General features: G+C 36.3%; 1 protein-coding gene across 2 annotated transcripts in view; it reads right to left on the reverse strand.

Annotated features, from left to right (window-relative positions):
• Positions 1 to 19,205, reverse strand: part of ANKRD36C (ankyrin repeat domain 36C) — a 142,893-nt gene that overhangs the window by 35,636 nt on the left and 88,052 nt on the right. For both annotated transcript variants that reach the window (NM_001310154.3, NM_001393982.1), the window contains 20 exons: positions 18,486 to 18,514; positions 18,319 to 18,391; positions 16,611 to 16,639; positions 16,448 to 16,520; positions 14,741 to 14,769; positions 14,578 to 14,650; positions 12,870 to 12,898; positions 12,703 to 12,775; positions 10,995 to 11,023; positions 10,832 to 10,904; positions 9,129 to 9,157; positions 8,966 to 9,038; positions 7,265 to 7,293; positions 7,098 to 7,170; positions 5,399 to 5,427; positions 5,232 to 5,304; positions 3,525 to 3,553; positions 3,358 to 3,430; positions 1,649 to 1,677; positions 1,481 to 1,553 (listed from right to left, as the gene is read on the reverse strand). In NM_001310154.3, the coding sequence (NP_001297083.1) occupies positions 1,481 to 1,553; positions 1,649 to 1,677; positions 3,358 to 3,430; positions 3,525 to 3,553; positions 5,232 to 5,304; positions 5,399 to 5,427; positions 7,098 to 7,170; positions 7,265 to 7,293; positions 8,966 to 9,038; positions 9,129 to 9,157; positions 10,832 to 10,904; positions 10,995 to 11,023; positions 12,703 to 12,775; positions 12,870 to 12,898; positions 14,578 to 14,650; positions 14,741 to 14,769; positions 16,448 to 16,520; positions 16,611 to 16,639; positions 18,319 to 18,391; positions 18,486 to 18,514 (1,020 nt within the window). The remainder of the gene's footprint in view (positions 1 to 1,480; positions 1,554 to 1,648; positions 1,678 to 3,357; positions 3,431 to 3,524; positions 3,554 to 5,231; positions 5,305 to 5,398; positions 5,428 to 7,097; positions 7,171 to 7,264; positions 7,294 to 8,965; positions 9,039 to 9,128; positions 9,158 to 10,831; positions 10,905 to 10,994; positions 11,024 to 12,702; positions 12,776 to 12,869; positions 12,899 to 14,577; positions 14,651 to 14,740; positions 14,770 to 16,447; positions 16,521 to 16,610; positions 16,640 to 18,318; positions 18,392 to 18,485; positions 18,515 to 19,205) is intronic.

Genomic DNA, 19,205 nt, shown 5'->3' on the forward strand with positions numbered 1-19,205 from the left:
TACAATTTCAAGCATGGTATGATTTGTCATATGTCTAAAACTAAAATAAAACCCTGTCAATGTCAACGTGGATATGCTGAGTGATGAGGACAAATGTGATCTAAAATCAGAGGATCAACTCATACAATTGAGAATCAATGTCAAAGCAGATGGTACTTGATCCCACAGGTCTTTCATGCAAGAAATCAAAAGGATTTACACCATTATACTACAGACATTCATCATGCTCTTTAACTTGCCCGATAACAGAGAAGGTACACAATTACAATGACACTTCAGTTGAATGTACACTTCACGTCTCTTCAGTGGAAGAGTCCTAAATTGATCACCTTGGATATCTGTTTGCTGAAACTGAGTAGATAATATTTATTATTCCTCACACCCACGTGGTGTAATAATTTGCCTAAGTTTCTTGTATCCACTCGTTTAGCTTTCCAAAATTTCTTCATCCATTCATGGCACCAAAGGATAATATATTAGCCTCAATAAAAATATCATCAATTATCAATTTTGACATACTTCTACAGAGTAAAACTGCTACAAGCGTTAGATATTAATATGTTTTACATTCACAAATCACTCCAATATTCATTGAAAATGACCACTTTAGGAGTTAATTAGAATTCCACATACTTTTTGTTTCTATAATAGTCTTGTTGGGAGTATCATGCTATTCTCTAAAGAAGTTTCATCCAATAGCTATTTTACCCAAGAGTTAGCTCCTTGAACAATGAAGCCAATGTATTCATATTCAAGTTTATCTCATTTTTATAACTAAAATCAACAAAACGTGTATCTCTGATGCCTAACAGTAACAAAGAGGAGTAACGAGTCAGTGTGCTTTATCCCAATTCTAGCATTGTTTCCTGCTTCCAGTAGTTCTTGGAGAAGCCAAAATTTAATATTCTTTTATGCAAATATTCCAAATTTATCTGAAGTGAGTTCACTCAGCTTTCCTCAACAGAAACCCCAAAATTACATAAATAACTTCTTCTTTTCTCTCCTTCCTGCCTCACAATCCCTCTTCCTTGTGGAAAATAATTGCTACTTCAGTGATCTTGTTTGTTCTCATTCTACGCTGTTTTTGAGGTATTAGGATCACTTTTCCCTCCGTTTATAACAATATGATCTGACGCCTATAATATCTATTACTTCGTCTCGTTCTCCTTCCCCTCTTGATGGAAACTTGCTGTAGAATTAAAGCAAAATGATGCTGTCCCCTGAGGCTGTTATGTGCTGAACCGCTCTCCTATGGCTCTTCTTCCCAATTTCAATGTAGGGAAGTCTACAATCTTACTACTCAGATCATGGTCAAGGACCAGCACCATCAGGGTCACCCGAGGACTTATTACAAATGAAGAATCTCAAGCATGCTGAATCCAAACATAAAGCTTCAATGAACCCCCCGCTGATTTATTTGGGGAAGTGAATTTCTCTTCTATTTGATCGAACATTACATTAAAGGTGTATTCCAAAATACCTGTCCCACGTATTTGTCCATCCTTTATCTCTGTGGCTATATTCGAAACAGAATCTTTCTTGACACTTGTAGCCTGAATGGGATTTGAAACAAAATAATCAATACATAAAGTATATATTCATAGACTATACAGTTAATAGTTCAAAATATATATGAGTGTTTAATTACCTTCCAGGCCAGTTGTTTCTGAGAAGACACTGAAAAGCAAAACAGATACATAATCACTCATATGTGCATATGATAAAGTTATTCAAACATTCATGCAGTGTTAGCATCAAGCTGCCTCTGTCTGCAGTTATTAGTGTAGGCTTTGATGCTTTATACTTTGTGTTTTGGGATGGGAACATGACAGAAATACACTGAAGAAAACAGGAATACAGGTTTCAAGAAATATACACTAAGCATTTCAAATGTAGTATGATTTGTCATATGACTAAAACTAAAATAAAAGTGTCAATTTCAATAAGGATATGCCGAGTGATGAGGACAAATGTGGTCTAAAATCACAGAAGAAACTAATCACCTGGAAATCAATGTCAAAGCAGGTGGTACATGCACCCGCATGACTTTCATGCAAGATATCCGAATGATTAAACCATTATACTGCAAACATTCAACATGCTCTTTAACTTGCCCAATAACTGAGAAGGTACACAATTACAATGACACTTCACTTGAACATACACTTCACATCTCTTAAGTGGAAGGGACCTAAATCGATCAACGTGGATGTATGTTTCCTGAATCCAAGTAAATAATTCATTATTTCTCACACCCATGTGCTGTAATAATTTGCCTAAGCTTCTTGTATTCTCTAGTTTAGCCTTTTGAACATTTCTTCATCCACTCGTGGCAACAAAGTATAATATATAACCTCAATAAAAGGCATCATCAATTATCAATTTTGACATAATTCTACTAAATAAAACTGCTACAAGTATTGGATATTAATAAGCTTTTACACTTGGAAATCACTCCAATATTCATTGAAAATTACCATTTTAGGAGTCAGTTGTTGAATTCAACATTATTTTTGTTTCTAAAATAGTCTTGTTAGGAGTATCATGCTATTCTCTAAAGAATATTCATTAAATACCTATTTTATCCAAGAGTCACCTCTTTGATCAATGAAGCCAATGTATTCATATTCAAGTTTATCTAACTTCTATAACTAAAATCAACAAAACGTGTAAGTCTGATACCTAATAGTAACAAAGAAGAGTAATTAGTAAATGAAGTTTATCCCAATTCTAGCATTATCTCCTGCACCCAGTAGTTCCAGCAGCTGCCAAAATCAAATCTTCTTTATGCAAATACGCTAAATGCCTCTGAAGTGAGTCCACTCAGGTTTCCTCAGCAGAAACCCCAAAATTACATAAATAACTTCTTCTTTTCCCTCCTTCCTGCCTCACAATCCCTCTTCCTTGGGAAAAATCATTGCTATATCAGTGGTCTCCTTAGTTCTCATTCTACAGTGTCTACAGGTTATTAGGATCACTATTCTGTCTTTTTTATAGCAGTATGATGTGACATCTATAAAATCTATACTTCATGTCTTTCTCCTTCTACCCTTATTGAAAACATGCTGTAGAATTAAAGCAAAATTATGCTGTTCCCCTGAGCCCCTTATGTCTTGAACTGCTCTCCATATTTCTTCTTCCCAATTTCGATGTGGGGAAGTCTATAATCTTACTGCAAAGATCGTGTCCAAGACCAGCAGCATCAGCGTCACCCAAGAACTTATTAAAAATGAAGAATGTCAGGCCTGCTGAATCAGAATGTGCAGTTTTGATGAGCCCCGCACTGATTTGTTCGGGGAAGAGAAGTACTTTTCTATCTGGACTGAACATGACATTAAATGTGTTTTGTGAAATTACCTGTTCCAGATTGTTGTCCATCCTTTATTTCTGTGGGTATATTCGAAACAGAATCTTTCTTGTCACTTGTAGCCTGAATGGAATTTGAAACAAAATAATGAATACATAAACTATGTTTCATAGACCACACAGTTAATAGTTCACAATATAAATGACAGTTTAATTACCTTCAAGGCTGGTTGTTTCTGAGAAGACACTGAAAAGCAAAAGGGATACATAATCACTCATATGTAAATATGATAAAGTTATCCATACATTCATGCACTGTTGGCATCAAGATGTATCTTCCTGCCTGTATTAGTATAGGCTTTGATGTTTTCTACTTTGTGACTGGGGACTGGAATATGACAGAAATACACTGAAAAAGGTGAATACAGGCTTCACAAAATATACTTACAATTTCAAACATGGCATGATTTGTCATATGTCCAAAACTAAAATAAAACCATGTCAATATCAATGTGGATATGCCAAGTGATGAGGACAAATGTGATCTAAAATCAGAGGAGCAACTCATACACTTGAGAATCAATGTCAAAGCAGGTTCTACATGATGCCACGTCTTCCATGCAAGAAATCAAAAGGATTTACACCATTATAGTACAAACATTCATTGTGCTCTTTAACTTGCCCAATAACTGAGAAGGCACACAATTACAATGATATTACAGTTGAATGTACACTTTACGTCTCTTCAGTGGAAGTGTCCTAAATTGATCAGCTTGGATTATGTTTGCTGAAACCTAGTAGATAATATTCATTATTTCTCACACCCCTGTGGTGTAATAATTTGCCTAAGTTTCTTGTATCCACTCGTTTAGCCTTCTGAAAGTTTCTTCATCCACTCATGGCACCAAAGGATAATATATTAGCCTCAATAAAAATATCATCAATTACCAATGTTGACATACTTCTACAATGTAAAACTGCTACAAGCATTAGATATTAATAAGTTTTACATTCAGAAATCAATCAAATATTCATGGAAAGGACCACTTTAGGAGTTAATTAGAATTCAACATATTTTTTGTTTCTAAAAAGTCTTCTTTGGAGTATCATGCTATTCCCTAAAGAAGTTTCATTCAATAGCTATTTTATCCAAGACTTAGCTCCTTGAACTTTGAAGCCAATGTATTCATATTCGTTTATCTCAGTTTTATAACTGAAATCAACAAAACAAGTATCTCTGATGCCTAATAGTAAATTACTCCTAAAGAGGAGTAATGAGTCACTGTGGTTTATCCCAATTCTAGCATAGTTTCCTGCTTCCAGTAGTTCCTGAAGCACCCAAAATCAAATCTTCTTTTATGCAAATGTTCCAAATGTATTGAAGTGAGTTCACTGAGGTTTCCTCAGCAGAAATCCCAAATTACATAAATAACTTCTTCTTCTCCCTCCTTCCTGACTCACAATCCCTATTCCTTGAGGAAAATAATTGCTACATCACTGCTCTTGTTACTTCTCATTCTACAGTGTTTTTGTGGTATTAGGATCACTTTTCCCTCTGTTTATCACAATACAATCTGACGCCTCTAATATCTATTACTTCATCTCTTTCTCTTTCCCCTCTTGATGAAAACATGCTGTAGAATTAAAGCAAAATGATGCTGTCCCCTGAGCCTGTTATGTGTTGAATTGCGGTCAGATGGTTCTTTTTCCCAATTTCAAAGTACAGACATCTAAAATCTTAGTACTTTCATCATGGCCAAGGACCACAGCATCAGGGTCACCTGAGAACTTATTACAAATGAATAATCTCAGGAATACTGAATCAGAACATGAAGATTTGACGAACCCCCCGCTGCTTTATTTGGTGAAGAGAAGATCTCTTCTATCTTGAACGAACATCCTATTAAATGTGTTTGCAAAATTACCTGTCCCAGATATTTGTTCATCCTTTGTTTCTGTGGCCATATTCGGAACAGAATTTTCCTTGTCACTTGTAGCCTGAATGGAATTTGAAACACAACAGTCAATAAATAAAGTATGTTTCATAGACTATACAGTTAATAGTTCAAAATATAAATGAGAGTTTAATTACCTTCAAGGCTGGTTGTTTATGAGAAGACACTGAAAAGCAAAAAGGATACATAATCACTCATACGTAAATATGATAAAGTTATTCATACATTCATACAGTGTTAGCATCAATCTCTGTCCTCCTGCCTGTATTAGTGTAGGCTTTGATGGCTTCTATATTGTGTCGGGGACAAGAACATGACAGAAGTACACTGAAAAAAGGGAATACAGGCTCCATGAAATATATCCTTACAATTTTAAAGATGCTATGATCTGTCATATGTCGAAAACTAAAATAAAGCCCTGTCAATATCAATGTCGATATGCCGAGTGATGAGGACAAAGTGATCTAAAATCAGGGGAGCAATTCATACACCTGAGAATCAATGTCAAAGCAGGTGCTACAGGATCCCACATGTGTTTCATGTAAGAAATCAAAGGATATACACAATTATAGTACAAACATTCATCATGCTCTTTAATTTGCCCAATAACTGAGAAGGCACAGAATTACGACATTTCAGTTGAACGTACACTTCACATCTCCTCAGTGGAAGTGTCCTAAATTGATGACTTTGGATATCTGCTTGCTGATACCTAGTAGATAATATTCATTACCTCTCACACCCATGTGGTGTAATAATTTGCCTAAGTTTCTTGCATACACTAGTATAGACTTCTGAAAGTTTCTTCATCCACTCTTGGCACCAAAGGATAATATATTAGCCTCAATAAAGATATCATCAATTATCAACTTTGACATAATTCTTCAAAGTAAAACTGCTACAAGCATTAGATATTAATCAGTTTTTCATTCAGAAATCACTGCAATATTCATTGAAAATGACCATTTTAGGAGTTAATTAGAATTCAACATCATTTTTGTTTCTAAAATAGACTTTTTGGGAGGACCATGTTATTCTTTAAAGAAGTTTCATGAAATAGCTATTTCATCCAAGGGGTAGCTCCTTGAACAAGGAAGCAAATTTATTCATAATCAAGATTACCTCATTTTTATAACTACAATCAACAAAATACGTATCTCTGATACCTCCTAGTAAGAAAGAGGAGTAATGAGTCAGTGTGGTGTATTCCAATTATACCATTGTTTCCTGCTTCCAGTAGTTCCTGGAGCAGCCAAAATCAAATATTTGTTATGAAAATATTCCAAATGCATCTGAAGTGAGTTCACTCAGGTTTCCTCAGCAGAAACCCCAAAATTATATAAAAGAATTCCTCTTTTTCCACCTTCCTGCCTCACAATCCGTCTTCCTTAGGAAAATAGTTGCTACACCAGGGGTCTCCTTAGTTCTCCTAACAGTGTCTACGGGTTGTTACAACAAGCTTTCTGTCTTTTCTTGGCAGTACAATCTGAAGTGTGTAAATTCTATACTTCCTCTCTTTCTCCTTCCACCCTTACTGAAAACAAGCTGGAGAATTAAAGCAAAATTATGTTGTTTCCCAGAGCCCCTTATGCCTTGAACTGCTCTCCATATTTCTTCTTCCCACTTTCAATGGGGGGAAGTGTATACTCTTACTGCGAAGATCATGTTCCAGAGCAGCAGCATCATCATCACCCAAGAACTTATTTGAAATGAAGAATCTCAGGACTGCTGTATCAGAATGTGCAGCTTCAACGAACCCCCCGCTGATTTATTCAGGGAAGAGAATTTCTTATCTATCTGCACTGAACATGACATTAAATCTCTTTTCAAAATTACCTCTCCTAGTTTTTTCTCCATGCTTTTTTCCTCTGGCTATATTCAAAACAGAATCTTTCTCGTCACTTGTAGCCTGAATGGAATTTGAAATGAAATAATAAATTAATAAAGTATGTTTCATAGACTATACATTTACTAGTTCACAATATAAATGACAGTTTCATTACCTTCAAGCCTGATGGTTTCTCAGAAGACACTGAAAAGTAAAAGGGATTCATAATCACTCATATGTAAAAATGACAAAATTATCCACACATTCATGCAGTGTTAGCATCAACCTCTGTCCTCCTGCCTGTATTAGCGTAGGCTTTGATGGCTTCTACTTTGTGTCTGAGGACTAGAACATGACAGAAATACGCTGAGAAAAGGGAATACAGGCTCCATGAAATATAGTTTTAGTATTTCAAACATGGTATGATTTGTCATATGTCGAAAACTAAAATAAAACCGTGTCAATATCAACGTGGATATGTCGAGTGATGAGGACAAAGTGATCTAAAATCAGAGGAGCAACTCATACACGTGAGAATAAATGTCAAAGCAGGTGCTACATGATCCCACATGTCTTTCATGCAACAAATCAAAAGGATTTACACCATTATACTACAAACATTCATCATGCTCTTTAACTTGCCCAGTTAATGAGAAGGCACACAATTACGATAACAATTCAATTGAATGTACCCTTCACATCTCTTCAGTGGAAGTGTGCTAAATTGATCACTTTGGATATCTGTTTAATGATACCTCGTAGATAATATTCATTATCTCTCACACCCATATGGTGTAATAATCTGCCTAAGTTTCTTCTATCCACTACTTTAGCCTTCCGAAAGTTTCTTCATCCAGTCGTGGCACCAAAGGACAATATATTAGCCTCAATAAAAATATCATCAATTATCAATTTTGACATACCTATACAAAGTAAAGCTGCTACAAGCATTAGATATTGACCAGTTATTCATTCAGAAATCACTGCAATATTCACTATAAATGACCATTTTAGGAGTTAATTAGAATCCAGCATAATTTTTGTTTCTAAAATAGCCTTGTTGGGAGTATCACGTTGTTCTCTAAAGAAGTTTCATGAAATAGCTATTGTATCCAAGAGGTAGCTCCTTGAACAAGGAAGCCAATGTATTCAGATTCAACTTTGTCTCATTTCTATAACTAAAATCAACAAAACATGTATCTCTGATGCCTAATAGTAACAAAGAGGAGTAATGAGTCAGTGTGTTTTTATGCCAATTCTAGGATTGTTTCCTTCTTCCAGCAGTTCCTGCAGCAGCCAAAATCAAGTATTTTTTATTAAAATATTCCAAATGCATCTGAAGTGAGTTCACTCAGGTTTCCTCAGCGGAAACCCCAAAATTATATAAATGACTGCCTCTTTTCACACCTTCCTGCCTCACAATCCGTCATCCTTGGGAAAATGATTGCTACACCAGGGGTCTCCTTAGTTCTCCTACAGTGTGTACGGGTTATTACAAGTTTTCTGTCTGTTTTTAGCAGTACGATGTGACGTCTGTAAAATCGATACTTCCTCTCTTTCTCCTTCCACCCTTACTGAAAACAAGCTGGAGAATTAAAGCAAAACTATGCTGTTCCCCAGAGCCCCTTATGTCTTCAACTGCTCTCCATATATCTTCTTTCCAACTTCAATGTGGGGAACTGTATAATCTTACAGCCAAGGTCATGTTCCAGACCAGCAGCATCAGCATCACCCAAGAACTTACTACAAATGAAGAATCTCCGGCCTGCTGAATCAGAAAGTGCAGCTTCGACGAGCCCCCCGCTGATTTATTTGGGGAAGGGAACTTCTTATCTATCTGGACTGAACATGACATTAAATCTGTTTTCAAAATTACCTGTTCTAGATTTTTCTCCATCCTTTTTTTCTCTGGCTATATTCAAAACAGAATCTTCCTCGTCACCTGTAGCCTGAATGGAATTTGAAATGAAATAATAAATAAAATATGTTTCATAGACCATACATTAACTCGTTCACAATATAAATGAGAGTTTCATTACCTTCAAGGCTGGTGGTTTCTGAGAAGACACTGAAAAGCAAAAGGGATTCATAATCACTCATATGTAAATATGACAAAGATATCCATAGATTCATGCAGAGTTAGCATCAAACTCTGTCCTCCTGCCTGTATTAGCGTAGGCTTTAATGGCTTCTACTTTGTGTCTGGGGACTAGAACATGACAGAAATACACTGAGAAAAGGGAATACAGGCTCCATGAAATATACCCTTGCAATTTCAAACATGGTACGATTTCTCATATGTCAAAAACTAAAATAAAACCGTGTCAATCTCAATGTGCATAGGCCGAGTGATGAGAACAAATGTGATCTAAAATCAGAGGAGCAACTCACACACCTGAGAATCAATGTCAAAGCAGGTGCTACATGATCCCACATTTCTTTCATGCAACAAATCAAAAGGATTTACACCATTATACTAAAAACATTCATCATGCTCTTTAAACTGCCAATAACTGAGAAGGCACACAATTGCAATGATACTTCAGTTAAACTTACACTTCACATCTCTTCAGTGGAAGAGTCCTGAATTGATCACATTGGACACCTGTTTGCTGATACCTAGTAGATAATGTTCATTATCTCTCACACCCATGTGGTATAAAAATTTGCTTAAGTTTCTTGTATCCACTAGTTTAGCCTTCCAAAAGTTTCTTCATCCACTCATGGCACCAAAGGATAATATATTAGCCTCAATAAAAATATCATCATTTATCAACTTTGACATATTTCTACAAAGTAAAACTGCTACAAGCATTAGATATTGATAAGATTTACATTCAGAAATCATTCCAATATTCATTGAAAATGATCACTCTAGGACTTAATTAGAATGCAACATAATTTTTGTCTCTAAAAGAGCCTTGTTGGGAGTATCATGTTATGTTCTAGAAAAGTTTCATTAAACAGCTATTTTATACAAGAGGTAGCTCTTTGAAGAAGGAAGCCAACGTATTCATATTCACGTTTATCTCATTTCTATAACTAAAATCAACAAAACATGTATCTCTGATGCCTAATAGTAACAAAGAGGAGTAATGAGTCATTGTGTTTTTATGCCAATTCAAGAAATGTTTCCTGCTTCCAGAAATTGCTGGAGCTGCCAAAATCAAATATTGTTTATGGAAATGTTCCAAATGATCTGAAGTGAGTTCACTCAGGTTTCCTCAGCAGTAACCCCAAAATTATATAAATGACTTCCTCTTTTCCCACCTTCCTGCCTCACAATCCGTCTTCATTCGGAAAATAATTGCTACATCAGGGGTCTCCTCAGTTCTCCTTCTACAGTGTCTACGGCTTATTATGAACAGTTTTCTGTCTGTTTTTAGCACTATCATGTGACATCTGTAAAATCTGTACTTCCTCTCTTTCTCCTTACACCCTTAATGAAAAGATGCTCCAGAAATAAAGCAAAATTATGCTGTGCCCAAGAGCCCCTTATGTCTTCAACTGCTCTCCATATTTCTTCCTCCCAATTGCAATGTGGGGATGTGTATAATCTTACAGCAAAGATCATGTTCCAGACCAGCAGCATCAGCATAACCCAAGAACTTATTAGAAATGAAGAATCTCAGGCCTACTGAATCAGAATGTGCAGTTTCGACCAGCCCCCCACTGATTTATTCGGGGAAGAGAACTTCTTATCTGGACTGAACATGACATTAAATGTGTTTTGCAAAGTTACCTGTCCTAGATGTTTCTCCATCCTTTCTTTCTCTGGTTATATTTGAAAAAGAATCTTTCTCATCACTTGTAGCCTGAATGGAATTTGAAACAAAATAATAAATAAGGTATGTTTCATAGGCTTTACATTTACTAGCTCACAATATAAATGAGAGTTTTATTACCTTCAAGGCTGCTTTTTTCCGAGAAGACACTGAAAAGCAAAAGGGATACATAATCACTCACATGTAAATATGATAAAGTTATCCATACATTCACACAGTGTTAGCATCAACCTCTGTCCTCCTGCCTGTATTAGTGGAGGCTTTCATGGCTTCTACTTTGTCTCAGGGGACCAGAAGGTGACAGAAATACACTGAAAAAAGGGAACACAGGCTCCATGAAATATACCCTTACAATTTCAAACATGGTATGATTTGTCATGTGTCGAAACCCAAAATAAAACCGTGTCAATATCAATGTGGATATGATGAGCGATGAGGACAAATGTGATCTGAAAACAGAGGAGCAACTCATACACGTGAGAATCAATGTCAAAACAGGTGCTACATGATCCCACATGTCTTTCATGCAACAAATCAAAAGGATTTACACCATTATACTAAAAACATTCATCATGCTCTTTAACTTGCCCAATAACTGAGAAGGCACACAATTACGATGACACTCCAGCTGAACGTACACTTAACATATCTTCAGTGGAAGTGTCCTGAATTGATCACCTTGGATATCTGTTTGCTGATACCTAGTAGATAATATTCATTATCTCTCACACCCATGTAGTGTAATAATTTGCCTAAGTTTCATGTATCCACTAGTTTAGGCTTCCGAAAGTTTCTTCATCCACTCTTGGCACCAAAGGATAATATATTAGCCTCAATAAAAATATCATCAATTGTCAACTTTGACATACTTCTACAAAGTCAAATGGCTACAAGCATTAGATATTAATCAGTTTTTCATTCAGAAATCACTGCAATATTCATTGAAAATGACCATTTTAGGAGTTAGTTAGAATTCAACATCATTCTTGTGTCTAAAATACTCTTGTTGGGAGTATCGTGTTATTCTCTAAAGAAGTCTCATTAAATAGCTATTTTATCCAAGAGGTAGCTCCTTGAACAAGGAAGCAAATTTATTCATATTCAAGATTATCTCATTTTTATAACTAAAATCAACAAAACATGTATCTCTGATGCCTCCTAGTAACCAAGAGGAGTAATGAGTCAGTGTGGTGGTGTATTCCAATTATACCATTGTTTCCTGCTTCCAGTAGTTCCTGGAGCAGCCAAAATAAAATATTTGTTATGAAAATATTCCAAATGCATCTGAAGTGAGTTCACTCAGGTTTTCTCAGCAGAAACCCCAAAATTATATAAATGACTTCCTCTTTTCACACCTTCCTGCCTCACAATCCATCTCCCTTAGGAAAATAGTTGCTACACCAGGGGTCTCCTTAGTTCTCCTAACAGTGTCTACGGGTTGTTACAACAAGCTTTCTGTCTTTTCTTGGCAGTACGATCTGAAGTGTGTAAATTCTATACTTCCTCTCTTTCTCCTTCCACCCTTACTGAAAACAAGCTGGAGAATTAAAGCAAAATTATGTTGTTCCCCAGAGCCCCTTATGCCTTGAACTGCTCTCCATATTTCTTCTTCCCAATTTCAATATGGGGAAGTGTATAATCTTACGGCGAAGATCACGTTCCAGACCAGCAGCATCATCATCACCCACAAACTTATTTGAAATGAAGAATCTCAGGACTGCTGAATCAGAATGTGCAGCTTCAACGAGCCCCCCGCTGATTTATTCACGGAAGAGAATTTCTTATCTATCTGGACTGAACATGACATTAAATCTCTTTTCAAAATTACCTCTCCTAGTTTTTTCTCCATGCTTTTTTCCTCTGGCTATATTCAAAAGAGAATCTTTCTCATCTCTTGTAGCCTGAATGGAATTTGAAATGAAATAATAAATTAATAAAGTATGTTTCATAGACTATACATTTACTAGTTCACAATATAAATGACAGTTTCATTACCTTCAAGCCTGGTGGTTGCTCAGAAGACACTGAAAAGTAAAAGGGATTCATAATCACTCATATGTAAAAATGACAAAATTATCCACATATTCATGCAGTGTTAGCATCAACCTCCGTCCTCCTGCCTGTATTAGCGTAGGCTTTGATGGCTTCTACTTTGTGTCTGGGGACTAGAACATGACAGAAATATGCTGAGAAAAGGGAATACAGGCTCCACGAAATATAGTCTTAGAATTTCAAACATGGTATGATTTGTCATATGCCAAAAACTAAAATAAAACCATGTCAATATCAACGTGGATATGCCGAGTGATGAGGTCAAAGTGATCTAAAATCAGAGGAGCAACACATACACCTGAGAATCAATGTCAAAGCAGGTGCTACATGATCCCACTTACCTTTCATGCAACAAATTAAAAGGATTTACACCATTATAATACAAACATTCATCGTGCTCTTTAACTTGCCCAATAACTGAGAAGGCACACAATTACGACGACAATTCAGTTGAACGTACACTTCACATCACTTCAGTGGAAGTGTGCTAAATTAATCACCTTGGATATCTGTTTGCTGATACCTAGTAGATAATATTCATTATCTCTCTCAACCATATGGTGTAATAATCTGCCTAAGTTTCTTGTATCCACTAGTTTAGCCTTCCGAAAGTTTCTTCATCCAGTCGTGGCAACAAAGGATAATATATTAGCCTCAATAAAAATATCATCAATTATCAATTTTGACATACATATACAAAGTAAAACTGCTGCAAGCATTAGATATTGATCAGTTTTTCATTCAGAAATCAGTGCAATATTCATTGAAAATGACCATTTTAGGAGTTAATTAGAATCCAGCATAATTTTTGTTTCTAAAATAGCCTTGTTGGGAGTATCATGTTGTTCTCTAAAGAAGTTTCATGAAATAGCTATTGTATCCAAGAGGTAGCTCCTTGAACAAGGAAGCCAATGTATTCAGATTCAACTTTGTCTCATTTCTGTAACTAAAATCAACAAAACATGTATCTCTGATGCCTAATAGTAACAAAGAGGAGTAATGAGTCAGTGTGTGTGTTTTTATGCCAATTCTAGGATTGTTTCCTTCTTCCAGCAGTTCCTGCAGCAGCCAAAATCAAGTATTTTTTATTAAAATATTCCAAATGCATCTGAAGTGAGTTCACTCAGGTTTCCTCAGCGGAAACCCCAAAATTATATAAATGACTGCCTCTTTTCACACCTTCCTGCCTCACAATCCGTCATCCTTGGGAAAATGATTGCTACACCAGGGGCCTCCTTAGTTCTCCTACAGTGTATATGGGTTATTACAACAAGTTTTCTGTCTGTTCTTAGCAGTACGATGTGACATCTGTAAAATCGATACTTCCTCTCTTTCTCCTTCCACCCTTACTGAGAACAAGCTGGAGAATTAAAGCAAAACTATGCTGTTCCCCAGAGCCCCTTATGTCTTCAACTGCTCTCCATATATCTTCTTCCCAACTTCAATGTGGGGAACTGTATAATCTTACAGCCAAGGTCATGTTCCAGACCAGCAGCATCAGCATCACCCAAGAACTTACTACAAATGAAGAACCTCCAGCCTGCTGAATCAGGAAGTGCAGCTTCGACGAGCCCCCCGCTGATTTATTTGGGGAAGGGGACTTCTTATCTATCTGGACTGAACATGACATTAAATCTGTTTTCAAAATTACCTGTTCTAGATTTTTCTCCATCCTTTTTTTCTCTGGCTATATTCAAAACAGAATCTTCCTCGTCACTTGTAGCCTGAATGGAATTGGAAATGAAATAATAAATAAAATATGTTTCATAGACCATACATTAACTCGTTCACAATATAAATGAGAGTTTCATTACCTTCAAGGCTGGTGGTTTCTGAGAAGACACTGAAAAGCAAAAGGGATTCATAATCACTCATATGTAAATATGACAAAGATATCCATACATTCATGCAGAGTTAGCATCATACTCTGTCCTCCTGCGTGTATTAGCGCAGGCTTTGATGGCTTCTACTTTGTGTCTGGGGACTAGAACATGACAGAAATACACTGAGAAAAGGGAATACAGGCTCCATGAAATATGCCCTTGCAATTTCAAACATGGTACGATTTCTCATATGTCAAAAACTAAACTAAAACCGTGTCAATCTCAATGTGCATAGGCCGAGTGATGAGAACAAATGTGATCTAAAATCAGAGGAGCAACTCACACACCTGAGAATCAATGTCAAAGCAGGTGCTACATGATCCCATATTTCTTTCATGCAACAAATCAAAAGGATTTACACCATTATACTAAAAACATTCATCATGCTCTTTAAATTGCCAATAACTGAGAAGGCACACAATTGCAATGATACTTCAGTTAAACTTACACTTCACATCTCTTCAGTGGAAGAGTCCTGAATTGATCACATTGGACACCTGTTTGCTGATACCTAGTAGATAATATTCATTATCTCTCACACCCATGTGGTATAAAAATTTGCTTAAGTTTCTTGTATCCACTAGTTTAGCCTTCCAAAAGTTTCTTCATCCACTCATGGCACCAAAGGATAATATATTAGCCTCAATAAAAATATCATCAATTATCAATTTTGACATACTTCTACAAAGTAAACCTGCAGCAAGCGTTAGATATTGAGCAGTTTTTCATTCAGAAATCACTGCAATATTCATTGAAAATGACCATTTTAGGAGTTAATTAGAATTCAACATAATTTTTGTTTCTAAAACATGATACTTCTTGGGAGTATCATGTTAGTCTCTAAAGAAGTTTCATGAAATAGCTATTTCACCCAAGAGGTAGCTCCTGGAACAAGGAAGCCAATGTATTCATATTCAAGTTTATCTCATTTTTATAAGTAAAGTCAACAAAACATGTATCTCTGATGCCTAATAGTAACAAAGAGGAGTAATGAGTCATTGTGTTTTTATGCCAATTCAAGAAATGTTTCCTGCTTCCAGAAATTGCTGGAGCTGCCAAAATCAAATATTGTTTATGGAAATGTTCCAAATGCATCTGAAGTGAGTTCACTCAGGTTTCCTCAGCAGTAACCCCAAAATTATATAAATGACTTCCTCTTTTCCCACCTTCCTGCCTCACAATCCGTCTTCATTCGGAAAATAATTGCTACATCAGGGGTCTCCTCAGTTCTCCTTCTACAGTGTCTACGGCTTATTATGAACAGTTTTCTGTCTGTTTTTAGCACTATCATGTGACATCTGTAAAATCTGTACTTCCTCTCTTTCTCCTTACACCCTTAATGAAAAGATGCTCCAGAAATAAAGCAAAATTATGCTGTGCCCAAGAGCCCCTTACGTCTTCAACTGCTCTCCATATTTCTTCCTCCCAATTGCAATGTGGGGATGTGTATAATCTTACAGCAAAGATCATGTTCCAGACCAGCAGCATCAGCATAACCCAAGAACTTATTAGAAATGAAGAATCTCAGGCCTACTGAATCAGAATGTGCAGTTTCGACCAGCCCCCCACTGATTTATTCGGGGAAGAGAACTTCTTATCTGGACTGAACATGACATTAAATGTGTTTTGCAAAGTTACCTGTCCTAGATGTTTCTCCATCCTTTCTTTCTCTGGTTATATTTGAAAAAGAATCTTTCTCATCACTTGTAGCCTGAATGGAATTTGAAACAAAATAATAAATAAGGTATGTTTCATAGGCTTTACATTTACTAGCTCACAATATAAATGAGAGTTTTATTACCTTCAAGGCTGCTTTTTTCCGAGAAGACACTGAAAAGCAAAAGGGATACATAATCACTCACATGTAAATATGATAAAGTTATCCATACATTCACACGGTGTTAGCATCAACCTCTGTCCTCCTGCCTGTATTAGTGGAGGCTTTGATGGCTTCTACTTTGTCTCTGGGGACCAGAAGGTGACAGAAGTACACTGAAAAAAGGGAACACAGGCTCCATGAAATATACCCTTACAATTTCAAACATGGTATGATTTGTCATGTGTCGAAACCCAAAATAAAACCGTGTCAATATCAATGTGGATATGCTGAGTGATGAGGACAAATGTGATCTAAAAACAGAGGAGCAACTCATACACGTGAGAATCAATGTCAAAACAGGTGCTACATGATCCCACATGTCTTTCATGCAACAAATCAAAAGGATTTACACCATTATACTACAAACATTCATCATGCTCTTTAACTTGCCCAATAACTGAGAAGGCACACAATTACGATGACACTCCAGCTGAACGTACACTTAACATATCTTCAGTGGAAGTGTCCTGAATTGATCACCTTGGATATCTGTTTGCTGATACCTAGTAGATAATATTCATTATCTCTCACACCCATGTAGTGTAATAATTTGCCTAAGTTTCATGTATCCACTAGTTTAGGCTTCCGAAAGTTTCTTCATCCACTCTTGGCACCAAAGGATAATATATTAGCCTCAATAAAAATATCATCAATTATCAACTTTGACATACTTCTACAAAGTCAAATGGCTACAAGCATTAGATATTAATCAGTTTTTCATTCAGAAATCACTGCAATATTCATTGAAAATGACCATTTTAGGAGTTAGTTAGAATTCAACATCATTCTTGTGTCTAAAATACTCTTGTTGGGAGTATCGTGTTATTCTCTAAAGAAGTTTCATTAAATAGCTATTTTATCCAAGAGGTAGCTCCTTGAACAGGGAAGCAAATTTATTCATATTCAAGATTATCTCATTTTTATAACTAAAATCAACAAAACATGTATCTCTGATGCCTCCTAGTAACCAAGAGGAGTAATGAGTCAGTGTGGTGGTGTATTCCAATTATACCATTGTTTCCTGCTTCCAGTAGTTCCTGGAGCAGCCAAAATCAAATATTTGTTATGAAAATATTCCAAATGCATCTGAAGTGAGTTCACTCAGGTTTTCTCAGCAGAAACCCCAAAATTATATAAATGACTTCCTCTTTTCACACCTTCCTGCCTCACAATCCGTCTCCCTTAGGAAAATAGTTGCTACACCAGGGGTCTCCTTAGTTCTCCTAACAGTGTCTACGGGTTGTTACAACAAGCTTTCTATCTTTTCTTGGCAGTACGATCTGAAGTGTGTAAATTCTATACTTCCTCTCTTTCTCCTTCCACCCTTACTGAAAACAAGCTGGAGAATTAAAGCAAAATTATGTTGTTCCCCAGAGCCCCTTATGCCTTGAACTGCTCTCCATATTTCTTCTTCCCAATTTCAATATGGGGAAGTGTATAATCTTACTGCGAAGATCATGTTCCAGACCAGCATCATCATCATCACCCACAAACTTATTTGAAATGAAGAATCTCAGGACTGCTGAATCAGAATGTGCAGCTTCAACGAGCCCCCCGCTGATTTATTCACGGAAGAGAATTTCTTATCTATCTGGACTGAACATGACATTAAATCTCTTTTCAAAATTACCTCTCCTAGTTTTTTCTCCATACTTTTTTCCTCTGGCTATATTCAAAAGAGAATCTTTCTCGTCTCTTGTAGCCTGAATGGAATTTGAAATGCAATAATAAATTAATAAAGTATGCTTCATAGACTATACATTTACTAGTTCACAATATAAATGACAGTTTCATTACCTTCAAGCCTGGTGGTTGCTCTGAAGACACTGAAAAGTAAAAGGGATTCATAATCACTCATATGTAAAAATGACAAAATTATCCACATATTCATGCAGTGTTAGCATCAACCTCTGTCCTCCTGCCTGTATTAGCGTAGGCTTTGATGGCTTCTACTTTGTGTCTGGGGACTAGAACATGACGGAAATATGCTGAGAAAAGGGAATACAGGCTCCACGAAATATAGTCTTAGAATTTCAAACATGGTATGATTTGTCATATGCCAAAAATTAAAATAAAACCATGTCAATATCAACGTGGATATGCCGAGTGATGAGGACAAAGTGATATAAAATCAGAGGAGCAACACATACACCTGAGAATCAATGTCAAAGCAGGTGCTACATGATCCCACTTACCTTTCATGCAACAAATTAAAAGGATTTACACCATTATACTACAAACATTCATCGTGCTCTTTAACTTGCCCAATAACTGAGAAGGCACACAATTACGACGACAATTCAGTTGAACGTACACTTCACATCACTTCAGTGGAAGTGTGCTAAATTAATCACCTTGGATATCTGTTTGCTGATACCTAGTAGATAATATTCATTATCTCTCTCAACCATATGGTGTAACAATCTGCCTAAGTTTCTTGTATCCACTAGTTTAGCCTTCCGAAAGTTTCTTCATCCAGTCGTGGCAACAAAGGATAATATATTAGCCTCAATAAAA

Source organism: Homo sapiens, chromosome 2 (genome assembly GCF_000001405.40).
Source record: "Homo sapiens chromosome 2, GRCh38.p14 Primary Assembly".
Lineage (NCBI taxonomy): Eukaryota > Metazoa > Chordata > Mammalia > Primates > Hominidae > Homo > Homo sapiens.